The sequence below is a fragment of the Homo sapiens genome, chromosome 11 (genome assembly GCF_000001405.40).
Source record: "Homo sapiens chromosome 11, GRCh38.p14 Primary Assembly".
Lineage (NCBI taxonomy): Eukaryota > Metazoa > Chordata > Mammalia > Primates > Hominidae > Homo > Homo sapiens.
The window spans coordinates 33,911,696-33,928,613 of record NC_000011.10 but is presented as its reverse complement, the minus strand read 5'-3'; the positions used below and the strand labels follow the sequence as shown (position 1 = coordinate 33,928,613).

Sequence of the window (16,918 nt, the reverse complement as noted above, 5' to 3'; positions counted from 1 at the left end):
GATAAAGATTGAAGAACCACATGGTTGAAGTCAGAAAAATGATACTTCAATGGAAGAGGAGATTGCCTAAACGTCCACCTTCCTGAAGTTCTGGTATTGACCAATAAGGAATTATAGAACCCTCATGCTGCACTTACAGCTGTGCTAGGCAATGTGGGAGAATCAAAAAAGCCCATTACCCTATGTGCAGTTCCTTGCTGTTCTCTCTAAGCAACATATCATCCGCATCTTTCTATGTAATTAAATATCCTACAACATCATATTTAATAGCTACATTGTATTCAATCATATAAGGTATTATTATTTAGCCAATCTTCTGTGGGTTCCAATTTTTCACCATTATTGGCAATGATATGCTGAAAATTCTTGTGGCTAAATCTTTGGCCACATCTGAGATTATCTGTGAATGCCAGCACACTTCAAAACTATGATACTCTGGGGGCAAACTGGAAAGCACATAGGGACATATACTTAATTAATTACTATAGAGACTGATGCTTTTTTTTTCCTTTTATGAGCCTACCTTTACCAAAACTTGGTGGCATTCCTGAGGGTGAGCTAAATGGATTGAAGGTGATGACAGTATCAGGGTGAATCCAGACACTCCAGTTCCTGCTTTGGCACCTTATTATGAAACTAATAATAATTATCATTGCTATTTATTGAGCACTTATTATGTGGGAAGCCATGTGTTAGGCACTTTATAACAGATATTACCATTTAATCTTCACAACCTTGTCATATAGATGCTATTATTTTTCTCACTTTTTAGGTGAAGAATCTTAGAAAGGTTGAGAACTTGCCCAAGGTCATCTAGGGGTGGTAGAGGAGGAATTGAAATGCAGATGTCTGACACTATAGTCCCAATTCTTAACCAGTATGCTAATGGTTCTCAACCTGTGTACTTTGGCATTCTGGAGTACTGCAAACCTTTTCTGGGCATGCTTCTAAATTTTATGTATCAAATGTATTTTGCTGCTGGGTGGGAAATGCTATGTGGTAGACTGATCTCCAAAGTGGCTCTCCTTCTTTCCTTTCCCCTATTCCCAGGTCTTTTGCAATTTCCTTTGCAGCTCCTCCCATTGAGAGGTGAAGACTATATCCCCACCCCTTGAACCTCATGATTTGTCTTGGCCGATAGAAAGCGGTGTAAATGACAATGGTGCTAGTTCCAAGCCCAGCTGACCTCGTGATTTGTCTTGGCCGATAGAAAGCGGTGTAAATGACAATGGTGCTAGCTCCAAGCCCAGCTGTCTCTTGCTTCTGTCGTGGAGGATGAGACATCAGGAGCAAAGCCAGGTCAAGGCCCCAGATATGTGAGACAGCCCAGAGCAGCCAAGGTCAGCCAAGCTCCCTAAGCAAACTGACAGTTGACTGTAGATGCATATGTGACCACTCTTAAGCCCAGTGAAACTGCCCCGCTGACCTGCAGACTCATGAGCAGAATGTTAACTGTTAGATGTTCCTGAAGTGCTGTGTTATTTGTTTCGCAGCACGATTGTGATGATAGATAATACATACTGCCGTGGCTATGTCCAATGCATGGACTACTAACCTGGTAGGTCATGAAATGCTGGATAGACTCGGGCACAACTTGGCTTCAGCACAGTGAAATGTCATGTTGCCACTTTGGAAAGTGTCTGTTTATGGAAGCACGTGAGACTTATGCTCCACGAGCATATGGGGACACAGTTTTATTCAACAGCCAGACTTGTGCTGTTGGGCCACTCAGGAATAGTGTGATGTCACCATCCCTTGCTAAATAAACTTTAAAGGGGCTGAGAGAAATAAAGTTTCATTTTGGTCACAAGTTACGTGTTGTGTTGTTCGCGTGCTGGTTACACTAGTTGAGTTGGATTTCTGTCCCCTGCAACCCAGAGTCCAGGTTCCACAGGTGGGAGCATTTGAAAGACTTCAGTGGCTCCCTTGCCACTTAATGCTTATGACTCTTCTGTGACTGACATGGGGCTGAGAAAGGACACTCCCAGGGCAGGCTGGTTGTTTCCTATGTCAGCCTCCTCATCTTATATGAGGGCCTCCTCCCGGAGCTGGCCCGAGTGTAGACCAAAAGAGGCAATGTTTCTCTGCAACAGGCCACCTTTGCCAACACCCCTAGGCTCCCAGCCTCTGGAACCTACAGACTGCACCGGCATTCCACTATCCCCCACTGTACACACCAGCTAAACAATGTTCCATACTCTTGGACTTTTTCTTATTCCTTTACACTCTTCTGTTTCAGTTATATGTTATTACCACGTAACAAATTGCCCCAAACTTAGTGACATGAAACAAGCACCATTTTTTTTTCTGTTCTGCAGGTCAGGAATTTGGAGAAGACATGGTGCGACGGCTTGTCGCTGCTCTCAGCTGTCTAGGGCTTCAACTGGGAAGACTTGAATAACAGGGACTGCAATCATCTGGAATCTTCTTCTTCCGCATGTGCCCTGTCCCTGGGCTGGCTTGGGCTCAGCTGGAACTGTTGGCAGGATGTCCACAGCATAGTGGCCTCAGGGTAGTCAGACTTTTTTTTTTTGAGACAGAGTCTTGCTCTGTTGCCCAGGCTGGAGTACGGTGGCATGATCTTGGCTCACTGCAACCTCTGCCTCCTGGGTTCAAGCAATTCTCCTGCCTCCTTAGTAGCTGGGATTACAGGCGCCTGCCATCACGCCCAGCTAATTTTTATATTTTTAGTAGAGACGGGGTTTCACCATGTTGGTCAGGCTGGTCTCAAACTCCTGACCTCAAGTGATCTGCCCACCTTGGCCTCCCAAAGTGTTGGGATTATAGGCCTGTGCCACCGCAGCTGGCCAGACTTGTTATATGGTGTCAAGATGCTCCAAGAATGAGTGTTCTAGCAGTGCAAGGTGAATGCTATGTGGCCTTTTATGTCCTATCCTTGGAACTCATATATTCCTTCACATCTCTTTTACTCTATTCTTTAAGACAGTCACAAACCTGCCCAGTTTCAAGGGGGAGGGATGTAGACCTCATTTCTTGAGCAGACAATTATTAAAGAATTTGCAGCCATGTTTTAAGGCTGCCATATCTTAAATGTATCTATCCATTTTTCCCAGTTGCTAAGATCCTTTATTTTGTGTAAGAATCTTTTCATGGCAAATTAAAAAAACAACTCATGCTAGCCTGGGGGAAAAAAGGCATGGATAATTTATTATAAGGATGCAGTGTTATCTCACAGAACACTCCCAAAAATGTCACTTAAGTCCTAATGTGTGCTCAGCGCCAGTGGGTGCTGAGGGGTTAGTGAGGCCAGGTCTTCCCTGCTGATGCATCAGCACACCTGGGCAGTGATGCTATTGCTCCAGAGGCCCTTAGGTGATGCCACTAATGGGAGGGACTGGAGAACTGTGGCAGGCCTGTCACAGAGCAACTGAAGAGGCCACAGTATGGAGCTGCTTGTGCCGCTCCCAGGTGGGGACTGGAAAGCTGGAGATCTAGGGAGGGCTGTTTGGAGCAGTGTTCTTCCATCCCTACACATTCCATCCCCACAGAAGGAATTCCCATTTCTTTCTAGAGGGTAAGCTTCTCAGATCTTTCTTCCTCTTCTGTCAGGCTGCCTCTGGCCATCCCAGCCTAGTAGATTTAGTCATCCATTGGTTTCTTGAGTGTGCCTTGCATTGTGACAGTGAACAAGACATTCAAGATCCCGAGAAGATGGAAAAATGCTCTGACCTGGGATCCAGCAGCCCTGACCCTGTCTGTTACTCTCCAAGTGACTTTGGACATATAGTCAATCCTCTCCCTCTGGGCCTCAGTTTCCCCATATGTCAAATCAGGGCCTTGACCTTGAAGGATCTCTAAGATCCCTTCAGAACTCCCAGAAGAAAGATGATTCTGGCATATTGAGAACTCCTAAAATTTCAATCCTCGACCTCAAGTTTATTTTCTGTCTTCTGCCTTACTGCTGGCTGGCTTACTCTTGCTGTAATTTATTTAACTGAGCCGTGCTGAGCAGTTTAGAACTGAGTTTGCATGAATCACTGTCCATAAAATCGAGTTAAGTGGATTTCATTCCACACGGCGCACCTGTGTATATACACAGGGAGAAGAAGCTGGATTTTCTTGGCTCTTCCAGCCCACTGTTAGAATTGCTTCTTTACAGATACAGCATTCACCCAGTATTTATAGTCCATTGTTATAACAGCCTCCTTTGGAGAGCTGAAAGTAAAGTGTTGGATGCAATTTTTCCTACAGATCATTTTATATAGCTGTCCTGTTTCTCTTTCTAGCTGGAAAAGCTGACATTGATTTTCTCTATTTTATCGCAGTTGGCAAATATCAGATTCAACTTCATTCAACAAATTTTCAACAAATTTTTATTGAGTGTTTTGTGAAGTCATACTGAGCTAGGTATAGGGGTGGAGGTTAAGGGAAAGTATCATACTCTTCAAAGACCCTACAAGCGGTGTGAAGTGTTAAGTAACAACTCAAATATTAAATAAACAACACAAGAGAATGTAGCTAGGCAGAAAATGGGAAATTTAGTGTGTTTGGTGGAAGGAGAAACCAACCAAAGTGTGTGATCTGGGGAGGATTATGGAGAGTCTGGGAGTGATGTTGAGCTTGTGAGGCTGATTTCTGTTTGCACCACTGCCCACATCTCGCCTCTCCCCATCCCCATCTGATATAACCTGCACAAGAATCATTTCAGTTCACTATTTTGTAAAAGGATATGATCAGAAAAAAAGAGTTGGAGTAAAGATGAGCATTTCTAGGAAGAAATGCCCAAAGGGTCTGCTCTGATGCTTGTGAAAATATATTTTGGAGCCAGAGTGAGGGATTATAAAGGGATTTATTTCATTTTGTAGCCCAGCCAAAAGCTCAGGCAGACTATGACTAAAATGGTGGTTTGAGGGACTGGCTGTATGGATCTTTGTTTTTATTTTCTATCCTGTTAAAAAATGCGCAATCTTTACTCTGCCACAGAAGAAACATTGCATGGTTTTTCTGGCTGTTTTCAAGTGTTTTGAAAATTCTATTCCATTTACCCTTTCTGGGACTCTGGGAGACATACTAGGGGGTCAGGGAGGGGCATGGTGGGGACTCACCCCTCCACTGACGCTATTTTTATGGACATAGGGTCTTTTTGAGAAAATTGAGTTGCTTTAAAAGACTTTAAGTTTTGGATTCAACTGTGTTTGTATCCAGGACACAAGCAAAATTTGATTTGCTTAATAGATTCTGTGGGTTGTGCTGTGTTGGGACAAGATATGCCCACATTTTCCCAGCTACCATTTGGGAAGCTTTAATACCCACATGGTGCTTTAGGCTGGGTGGTCTCTGCCTCTAAAGCCCCTGGATAGCACCACCTCTGCCCTGGAGGAGCAATGATTCAGTAAGCAATGCTGTCCAACAGAAATATAATGTGAGTTACACATGCAATATAAAAACTTCTAGTAGCCAAGTAAAAAAGTAAAAAGAAACAGGCAGGATTAGTTTTAACCATATATTTATTTGACTCGATACATCTAAAATATTATTTCAGTACACAATCAATATAAAATGGTAAATGAGCTATTTTGCATTCTTTTTTTCATATTCGGTCTCCAAAGTCTGATGTGTATTTTACACTATAGCATATCTCAATTCAGACTAGCCACATCTTAAGTGCTTCATGGCTACATGTGGCTAGTGACCACCGTATTAGACAGCACAGGTCTAGAGTTCTCAACCGGTCCTTCCCTATCCCTTGGATCCCTGGATGGTGTCTTGTTTTAACCTTTGTTGGCAACAAAGAGCCCAACCCTTTGGATTTGACTAGAAATAGCTCACAACTTAATCCTCCAGCGATATAATTGTCTTCGTTACTCCCAGTGATGGAGTCTGGTGAATTTCCAGGGCCTTCCATTATGGCACCATCAGTACCCACCCCTGTTTATGCCACATTTACACCTTGTCTGTTCATTCCTCTAGCTCTTGCTAACCATTAATCTGCTTTCTGTCTCTGTGGATTTGCCTGTTCTAGATATTTCATATAAATGGAATCATGCGGTATGTGACATTTTGTCTCTGGCTTGTGAGACTTAGCATAATGTTTTCAAGGTTCATCCATGCCGTGGCACCTATCAGTACTTTATTCCTTTTTATTGAGGAATAATATTTCATTTTACGGACATACCACATTTTGTTTATTCATCTGTGGATGGACATTCAGATTGTTTCTACCTTTGGGCTATTGTGAATAGTGATGCTATGAACACTGGTGTACAAGTTTTGTTTGAATACCTGTTTTAACTTCTTTGGGGCATATACCTGCTAGTAGACTGAGTGGGTCATATGTTAATTCTATGTTTAACTGTTTGAGGACTGGCCAGGCCAATCTGTTTTCCTGAGTGACTGAACCATTTTACATTTCCACCAGCAATGCATGGGGGGTTCAACCAATTTCATCACATCTTTGCTAACTCTTTGGTTTCTATTTCTTGTTTTGTTTTTTTAAGTGTTAATTATAGCTACCCTAGTGAGTATGAATTGGTATCTTATTGTGTGTTTTTTTAATGCTTTTTTAAGTTTTTTATTTTATTTTATTTTATACTTTAAGTTCTGGGATACATTGCAGAACGTGCAGGTTTGTTACATAGGTATACACGTGCCATGGTGGTTTGCTGCACCCATCAACCCATCATCTACATTAGGTATTTCTCCTAATGCTCTCCCTTCCCTTGCCCCCCACGCCCCGCCAGGCCCCCGTGTGTGATGTTCCCCTCCCTGTGTCCATGTGTTCTCATTGTTCAACACCCACTTATGAGTGAGAGAACATATTGTGCTTTTTTTAATTGGTAAACTTAATTTTTTTAGAGCAGTTTTAGTTTTACATAAAAATTGTGTGGAAAGTACAGAGAGTTCCCAAATACCCCGTCCCCACACATGCACAACCTCTCCACTGTTGACATATGCACCAAAAGTGGTACATTTGTTGCACTTGATGAACCTACATTGACACAGCATAATCAACCAAAGCCTATAGTTTACATTCAGGTTCAGTCTTGGTGTGGGATATTCTGTGAGTTTTGACAAATATACAATAACTTGTATCCATCATTGTAGTATCATACAGAATAGTTTCACTGCCTTAAAAATCGTCTGTGCTCTGCATCATTGTGGTTTTGATTTGCATTTCCCTAATGACTAATGGCCTTCAGCATATGTCTAGCGGTTTTTAAATAGTGCCTTGAGAAGCCCCCTGAGGGGCCACTGTGGAAAGGAAGAGACAGCTGAGCGGCAGCAATGGTGTTCAAGACTCCCACCCACTCCCCTACCACAGTCACGCCACTTGCATCCATTTGACATGTTTGACTTCTCATGAAATATTCCATTTGAGCAAACGGTTCTGAGGCTTTCATAAGTTTGGCAGTCACTTCCTTGGGCTTGTGTTTTCCACATCTTCACTTGGCTAGTGAGATTGGAAACTTCCAGCACCAAGAGTGGAACCCTATTTTTCTGACTTCTGGTTCCATTCTCTTCCAACTATACCACCCTGTCAGTAAAAACAACAACAATAATGACAATTACCATGTATTAAATGCTTATCTTATGGCAGGCACTGTGGTAAGCACTGTCATGTAACCCTCTCATAACATTGTGAGGGCCATGCATTTTGAGACACAAATCACATTTAGAAATCTTCACCATAGGCTGAGCACGGTAGCTCACGCCTGTCATCCCAGCACTTTGGGAGGCCGAGGCAGGCAGATTGCTTGAGCTCAGGAGTTCAAGACCACCCTGGGCAACATGGTGAAACCCCATCTCTACAAGAAATACAAAAATTAGCTGGGAATATTGGTATGTGCCTATAGTCCCAGCTACTCTGGAGGCTGAGGTGGGAGGATCACTTAAGCTTGGAAGGTTGAGGCTGCAGTGAGCCAAGATCACACCACTGCACTCCAGCCTGGGTGATAGAGTGAGACCCTGTTTCAAAAAGAAAAATCTTCACCATCACCTGCAAGACCCCTCTCCAACCTCATGCTGCTCCTCTTCCACTCAATGACTCTACCCCAGCTCCACGACATTCCTGCTGTCCCTTGTGAAGACCCGCGTGTTCCCAATCTCGAGACCTTCTCATCACTCGGCTCTCCTGTCCTCCTTCACGATAAACCTTTATTTTGTATAGTTTTCATGGATCTTTCAATAACAGGTTACTGAGTTTTCTCAAAAGCACCTGTAGTAGGAATTTGTACCTTCTTTTGAAATTAAGAATGCCGAGTCTTGGCTAAGTAAAATCAATTGCTCAAGGTCACACATTCCCACATTTATGTGCTCATTCATTTTTTTAAAAAAATGTTTTTAAACCTATATTTTGTGCCAGGAACTTAGATAGGTGTTATGTGGGATAAGAAGATAAAATATTAAACAAACAAACAAACAAAAATACCCTGTCCTCAAGGAACTTACAGATCAATAAGACGGGTGAGATAGGAACATAAATATCTATAATACAAGGTAATAATTTGAAGTGCTACATACAATAATCATGCACATGTGCAAAGATTCCATTAGAAGTAGATTCAGTTGCATACCAAGGAAAATTCCGGTAACAGAGGCTTAAGTAAGAGAGACATCTATTGATCTATTGCTTTGTCACATAAAGGAGGTCCAGGGGTAAACATCCTGACTCTGGGGACATCAGAGATCCAAGCTCTTTCTTTCCTTTGCTCAATCACCTTGAGCAGAAGAAAGTGGAATGTGCAGAATGGAAGTGTGGTTTCCATTTGAATGGTTCAAGATGGCACTGGACCCCTAGCCACTCTGCGTGCATTCCCAGCAGTAGAAAGAGGAAGGGGAGGGCAAAAACAGAGCACTTCCTGGCTGAGTCAGTTATCTCTGAACAGCCTTTCTTGAGGTCCCACTTACATTTCTACTTAGTTTTCACTGGCTGATGTATTCACCTGGCCTCAGTACATTGCAAAAGAAGCTGGGAAATGAAATTTTTTTAGCTTATCTTTTGTCACACCAAGTAAAATTGGGGTCTCATTCCAAAGAATAAGAGGAGAATGGATATTTGAAGACACTGAGCTGTCTATCACAGACATTTATTTGAAGCACTTTTTAATGTTAAAAATGTGGAAATAACATAAATATCTAAAATAATGATCGGCTCCATAAATTAATTGATTTATTAATATCATGCATGCTTAAATATTACATTTTAGAAGAACATTTAATGACATAGGAAATGTTTATGATACTATGTTAAGTGAAAATAATAATTACTACTATTCTAGGAAAACAATTAAGATATTATGTAAGAACCATAAAAAAGGAGCAGCTACATCTTGATATAAAAAATTTATAGTACTGTGGTTATCTTTTTTTTCTTTTTTTTTTCAGACAGAGTCTCACTCTGTTTCCCAGGCTGCAGTGCAGTGGCATGATTTCAGCTCACTGCAACCTCTGCCTCCCAGGCTCAAGTGATTCTCTTGCCTTAGCCTCCCAAGTAGCTGGGATTACAGGCACCTGTCACCACACCCAGCTAATTTTTGTATTTTTAGTAGAGATGGGGTTTCGTCATGTTGGCCAGGCTGGTCTCCAACTCCTGACCTCACGTGATCCACCTGCCTCGGCCTTTCAAAGTGCTGGGATTACAGGCGTGAGCCACTGTGCCCAGCCAGTTGTGGTTATCTTTAAAAAAAGAGTTCTTGGCCGGGCACGGTGGCTCACTCCTGTAATCTCAGAACTTTGGGAGGGAGAGGTGGGCGGATCACCAGGTCAGGAGTTCAAGACCAGCCTGGCCAACATAGTGAAACCCCATCTCTACTAAAAATACCAAAAATTAGCTTGGCATGGTGGCAGGTGCCTGTAATCCTAGCTACTTGGGAGGCTGAGGCAGGAGAATCGCTTGAACTGGGAGGCGGAGGTTGCAGTGAGCTGAGATTGTGCTGCTACACACCAGCACCTGCGACAGTGCGAGACTCCGTCTCAAAAAAAAAAAGAGAGTTTTTATCATTTACAGACATATTTATGGATGAAGTCATATGATGTCTGGAATTTGCTCTATAGTGGAAGAGAAAGAGTGAGGGAGGGGAGTATAGGTGAAACCAGAATGGCCATCTGTAAATAATTATTGAAGCTGTGAATGGATAAATGGAAATTTATGGTCTTATTTTCTTTTCTTTTATACATGTCTGAAAATTTTCATAAGAAAAGATTTTTTAAAAAATGGATTAAGTACCAATCACTCATCCTCTGTCTCATTTTTAAATGGACTAATAACACCTATCACACAGGAAGAGTGAAGATTAAGCAAAAAGATAGGGTATATGAAAATACTTTGAGCTGAATAAAGGTGGTCAGAAATGCCTGTTACTCCCATCAGGAGGAGGCTGGCATAAAGCAAGATTAGGGTGAGAAGCCAGGATCTCTGACTCTTTACTCTGGGGTCTTGCACTCCCCACCTGGCCTTCCCTCCTCATTCCCCCAAGGGTGGCAGGGAGTGCCAGGGTGGCTGGATGCAATGCACAGCCAATGGTGAGGCAGGTTCCATTATCAGGCCTCTCAGGCCTCTGACGCCACCCCTACAGGTACTGACTAGGCTACTGTATGCACACAGGCTGCCTTCACTGCAGCAGGCTGGATCACAGTCAAGATGCTCCATTAACTGGCTATGTGGTCTCAGGCAAGTGAGAGCTTCAGTGCCCCTTCTATTCAAGGAAAGGATTAGATCCATTGGTTTCCAAAGAATCTTTCAACACTGATCTTCTCAAGGAACCCAGTTCTTTGGTTCTAGGACACTCTGCCCTGGATGTTTTTAGAAGATAAATATTAATAATATTAGTAAGAACATCTAGCATTTATTGAGTGCTAACTATTAATAAGGCATAAGACTAAGTACTTTGTAAGCTTTAATTTATTTAATTCTTACAACATTTATGAGGTAGGCTGTATTAGTCTGTTTTCATGCTGCTGATAAAGACATACCTGAGACTGGGCAATTTATAAAAGAAAGAGGTTTAATGGATTCACAGTTCCACGTGGCTGGGGAGGTTTCACAATCATGGAGGAAGGTGAAAGGCAGGTCTCACATGGCAGCAGACAAGAGAAGAGAGCTTGTGCAGGGAAACTCCCCTTTATAAAACAATCAGATCTGATGAGACTTATTCACTATCACAAGAATAGCATGGGAAAGACCCACCCCCATGATTCAATTACTCCCACTGGGTCCCTCCCACAACACATGGGAATTGTGGGAGCTACAATTCAAGACGAGATTTGGTGGGGACACAGCCAAACCATATCACAGGTCTACTATTAGCTCCCATTTACACATGAAAGATAGGCTCAGAAAGGGTAAACTGATCAAGGTCACAGAGCTGGGTTTCAAACTCAAGCAGTCTGGCTCCAGAGTCCAACAGGCAGGAGAAAGTAGTAGACTGCATGGCATAACTGCAGCCCTGTTCAGAAGGCTAGATCCATCCGACTGTTCCCACACTAAATTCTGAAGTCACTGACAAAGCTCTGAGTCTGTGAAACTCAGGAAAGAAGACCCCAGTACTTCTCCCAAGGAAAGAGAAGCCATTCTAGACATTCATTGTGCAGATTAGAAGGAATGGGCTTTCAATGCCCTACTTGAGTTCAGGAGACACTAGACTGATGATCAGTGGCATGGACCAGTTTGGTCTTCTGTGCTCTTTACAGCTGTTCTTTTGATTAGTCCATGCCTGTGGCATGCCAGTCATCAAATATTTCTAATGTCACCCTGGAAAGAAAGAAGAATGCCTTGTTTGTAAGGAGTTAGAAGTGGACAATCTTCTCAGAGGAGGCTGGGGATATTCTTAGAAAACAATAGCTCCCTGGCTTGGGCACATAAACAGGCTATGTGCTTGATGGTCCTTCAAAGTCCTGCATGGACCCCAGGATCTCATAAATACTCATATATTCTGACAAATTGGCTGCTCTCGTTTGGAAAAAAAATAACTCTTAACATCAGAAGTGTTCCTTAGTAGAAACATGTGTTTGCCAGTCCTGCTTCACCACTCCCTTCCTCAGTAACTCCTCACCTTGCTGTTCTTCTCTTCCCACTTACATTCTTGGTGAGACTTTCCATCAGGCACCTTTCCCCTCGGGCCAAGGGAAGGCCATGACTGGAACCCAGTGAGGCTGCTCAGATGTTTACTTGGAATACGAATCTTGAATCAAAAGACACAGAGAAAGCAGCGCAGATACATCCCTAAACAGCACCTATGAGAAAGCAGCCCTGGTTGCTAATATAAGACCCAGCTATTTGCTTTTTTCTTCAATTACACCCTATAGAGTGGAATTATTTTTATTTTCTAAAGTTATCCAGAGTCTATTTCTGTTTTCTGCAATCCAAAACCCCCCAACTCACACAGGGTTCGATATCTAATGTCAGTGTTTTTTTCTTAGAAGCTTTTAATCCTAAAAGACAGATCTTTCCTTCCTGGCCCAGCCTCCTCCAACCCCAGGACCTAAGTCCTTTCTCTTCCATTTCCTTCCAGAGCTTCCTGAGCCAGGGCGGAAAAGGGCTCTTGTCAATGTGCTAAGCTTTACCTTGAGGGATGAGTGAAGACACCCTTTAAATTACCTATAAAACTCTTTGATTCACTCAGCATAGGTTGCCATGGGCAATTTGCTAAGCTTATTGATCATTTTCTGTTTAAATTAAAGTTTGATGTCCCGGAACAGGCTGTGCAGTGCATGGAGTTAATGGAAAAGGTTGAGATCCAGGGGAGAGACACTCACTGTGGAAATGGAGGGTATTCAAGGGGAAAACAGGGAGTCTATGAAGAGGAGATTGTCAGCACCAAGTTGTGGTAAATATGATGGCGATAAAAAAGATAGAGAATGGGATTCTTTTATGGAGAAGGGCAGCTTCCCAGACATTTAAAGCCTCAGGGAGACAGTGGAAAAAAATGTATTCATTCCACAAATATTTGTTGAATGCCTATTATATGTCAGACACTGTGCTGGGCGCTGGGGAACAATAATGAAGGCACCATCGTTGAGTCTCAGCTCTAAATCAGTGGTTCTCAAAGTGTAGTCCCTGGTGCCGCTGAATCCCCATTGCCTGGGGCGGATGTTCAGGCCCCACCCCAGACCTACTGAATCAAACTCTGGAAGAGAGGCTCAGTCCCTTCCAGAGGAACCTGGTGCATGCTATAGTTTGAGAACCACTGCTCTAGATCTTAAGCCTCTGAGGAGTAAACCCAGGCTCCTGAGAACCAGGAGCTCAGCTTGAGTCAGTGTCATTATCACAAACATCTGTTGAGCATTTATCATTGCCAGGTATTATGCTAAGCATGACATGGGTTCTTTCTTTCTTTCTTTTTTTTTTTTTTTTGGTGACAGAGTCTTACTCTGTTGCCCAGGCTGGAGTGCAGTGGCATGATCTCGGCTCACTGCAACCTCCACTTCCCACGTTCAAGTGATTCTCCTGCCTCAGCCTCCCAGGTGGCTAGGATTACAAGCGCCCACCATGACGCCCAGCTAATTTTTTGTATTTTTGGTAGAGACAGGGGTTTCACCATGTTGGCCAGGCTGGTCTCAAATTCCAGACCTCAGGTGATCTGCCCGCCTCAGCCTCCCAAAGTGCTGGGATTACAGGCGAGAGTCACCGCACCCGGCCCAACATGGGTTATTTCATTGCATCCTTACAACAAGCTTTCAGATGGAGGATGAAATGGAGGCACGCTGGAAGCAGGCAGGGTAGGTAGAATTCAAACACAAGAGTTTAAATGTTCTGTCTACCGTCTCCCAAACACCAACCTCCCACAAGTTCTGTGACTCTTTCTGCCCTGGTTAAAGCTGACCTTCAGATTGACACAGAAACATGGTTTCCCCCAGATGAGCTATATTGTGAGGCTGGATTTATTTATTTATTTATTGAGACAGGGTCTCATTCCTGTTGCCCAGGCTGGAGTGCAGTGGCGCAATCACAGCTTACTGTAACCTTGACTTCCCCAGGTTCAGGTGATCCTCCCACCTGAGCCTCCTGAGTGGCTGGGACTTGACAGGTATTTGCCACCCCACCTGGCTTATTTTTTATATTTTTTGTAGAGACAGGGTTTTGCCAAGTTGCCTAGGCTGGTCTTGAACTCCTGGGCTCAGGTGATCCACCCATATTGGCCTCCCAAAGTGCTAGGATAACAGATGTGAGCCACTGTGCCTGGCAAGGTTGGGCTTTAGGTGCTTGAGGAAGAAGAGGAAGTAAAAGGGCAGGAAGTGTAGAATAGACTAGGAAGGAGACAGAGGAAATGTTGGCAGTGAGAAGGCAGGCCAACAGTTCCACCTGCCCAGTTATCTTCATCTTTATGGGAAGCTAGAATTCAAAATCACCATACACTGATTAGGTATGGAAAAATCTCATCAATTCAGTGAAAAAGGGTTTTCACATCCTAATGCCTAAATGTCAAGCCCTTTAAATCTTCCACTTGCAGTGTGTATCAGTTTTGTATTGCTGCAGTAACAAAATCAGTATTCATTTGCCATGGCTGTTGTAACAAATTACCGTAAACTTAGTGGCTTAAAACGTTAAGTTTTATTCTCTTATAGTTCTGGAGGTCAGAAGTCTAAAATTAAGGTGTTGGCAGCACTGCATTTCTTCTGAAGACTTCAGGGGAAAATCTATCTCCTTCTGTTTTCCAGCTTGCATTTTCCAGAGGCTTCTTGCATTCCTTGGCTTGTGGCCCATTCTTCCATCTTTAAAGCCAGCAGCTTCTTCTCTCCTATCTGACATATGCTTCTGTTCTTACAGCTTTCTCTACTCATAGACTTCCGTCTCCCTCTTATAGGGACCCTTGTGATTACATTGGACCCAACTAAATGCTCCAGGAGAAACTTCCCATCTCCAGATCTTAATTTAATCACACCACCAAGGTTGTTTTGCATCTAAGGTAACAAATGTATAGCTTCTGGGGATTAGCAGGTAAACTTTTTTTTTTTTTTTTTGAGACGGAGTCTTGCTCTGTCGCCCAGGCTGGAGTGCAGTGGCACGATCTCGGCTCACTGCAAGCTCCGCCTCCCGGGTTCACACAATTCTTCTGCCTCAGCCTCCCGAGTAGCTGGGACTACAGGTGCCTGCCACCTCGCCCAGCTAATTTTTTTGAATTTTTTAGTAGAGACAGGGTTTCACCGTGTTAGCCAGGATGGTCTCGATCTCCTGACCTCGTGATCCACCCGCCTTGGCCTCCCAAAGTGCTGGGATTACAGGCGTGAGCCACCGCACCCAGCCACAGGTAAACATCTTTGGGAAGGGTAGCACTATTCTGTTTGTCATACTCTTCTGTCCTTAGGAAAGTCATTTTTCTTTTGGAAAGCTTCCATTTCTCAAAAAAAAAAAAAAAAAAGGTTGGGGGGATTAGAATACTTCTTGGTCCTAATCTTATAGGAATATGTACATCATTTCAATTACAGATGTAAACATTATTGTTGCCTCAGTGTCCTCATCTGACAAATGGGATAAGAATGGTGTTTCTTCCTCATTCGGTTAAAAATCTGTATTGCTTACCTACTCTGTGCAATGTTGTGTTCATGTTCCATTGGAAAGGCCCCGACACAGTGCTACAGAAAAAAAAAAAACACTCAGCAAAAGGTAGCTGTATAAGTTAGATGTTATAGTCTTAACTATGTGTCAGCAACAGACAGAGATGAGGCCAATTCTCTTGAGTAACCAACCATCTGATGACTCATATCATCATGCAATGTTTGGAAGAGCAGCAATAAGCTCAGGTTTCAAGATGCTTCGGTGATCATGAACTTGAGGGCCTGTCCACTGAGCTGAGGTGTCAAAATGAGCCTCAGTATTTCCCGTGGTAGGTGACAGGCTGAGGGCTGTTACCACCAGAGGCTGTTGCTGCCATTCGCCTGGAACCACGTTTGTTGATGATCAGGGGAACAAAAAGCAGCAGCCGTGTCCACCAGAAGAGAGACATTAAGGTTGATTAAGTGAGTGGGCCAATTAGCGTCTGGCTTCATGCAGTGTGGAGTTAATTAGCCTCTACAAAACAACAACAGCTGCCTTGATGGTAGGGCAGGAGGCCCAGCAGAGAGGAGCCAGGGGAAGAGAAGTGAGAGACCTAGTGCTTAATAACTTGGCTGCAGTGGGCCCTGCCCCACTAAAATGTAGAACAAAGCCCAGGGCAAACTTGCTTGCCTGCTTCCGGACCGTGCATGGGGTGGAGAGCCACAGTCTCCGCCCGTTAGGGAGAGGCCAAACTCAGACCTCAGACTTACATTTCTTTTTGAGACTAAGTCTAGCACAGCTTAGTTTGCATTCTAACAAAAATCGCTGCTCTACACGTCATCTTGATCCTTAACTCCCTAATTCACAGTTTCCTAATGTTGATATTTTTTCCTTATTACAAAAGTAATACATACTTATTGGGCGGCATTTGGAAAGTACAGAAAAATACCTAGAAAAAATAATCCCTTGATCTTGAAATAGATTCTTTCATTCATTAATCATTTATTGTTTACCTACTAAATACCACTGCTGTTCAAGGTGTTCAGAAAAAGCATATATCAGTTTAGTTTTTTCTCCATGCAAATATATATGCTGTTTTACAAATTGAACTCACTGTGCATGATCTTTAATTATCCCCTTTTTAGCAATGCGTCACCATTTTTCCTATCCTGTTTTAAAATGTTTTTTTAACTACTTAGCCTCTGTGGTTCCGCTAATTACACATCATTGTATTGCGCATTTACTTATGCCTTCTGCCTCCTCTTCTAACAAAGTTCTTCAGGGTAGAGACAATACCTTTTTACCACTATATCCCCCATAGCTCAGAGCCTAGATCAAAGCCGAGCATGTGGTGGGCACTCATTAAAAATGCGATAAATGAGTAAGTAAATGAGTGAACGAATTTAGCCAGTCCTTTCTTGTGGGCCACTAAGGTTGTTTCCACTTCTTTACCATTGACAAAAGCTGTTGTACCAATTAAGACTG

The 16,918-nt window shown here is 43.1% G+C and overlaps 1 long non-coding RNA gene across 1 annotated transcript, besides 1 other annotated feature; it reads right to left on the bottom strand.

Moving 5' to 3' along the window:
• Nucleotides 1,178–1,472: a silencer, noted in NCBI's record as "tiled region #4704; K562 Repressive DNase matched - State 5:Enh". NCBI's record gives its function as "represses a minimal TATA promoter and a strong SV40 promoter by Sharpr-MPRA in K562 cells {active_cell/tissue: K562}" and the evidence as "EXISTENCE:reporter gene assay evidence [ECO:0000049][PMID:27701403]".
• Nucleotides 14,491–15,517, bottom strand: LOC124902659 (uncharacterized). The gene is made up of 2 exons (XR_007062648.1): nt 15,479–15,517; nt 14,491–14,700 (listed from the first exon to the last, which is right to left on the bottom strand). It is a non-coding gene; the product is annotated as an uncharacterized LOC124902659 (long non-coding RNA).
• Between the last annotated feature and the right edge of the window lie 1,401 nt (nt 15,518–16,918).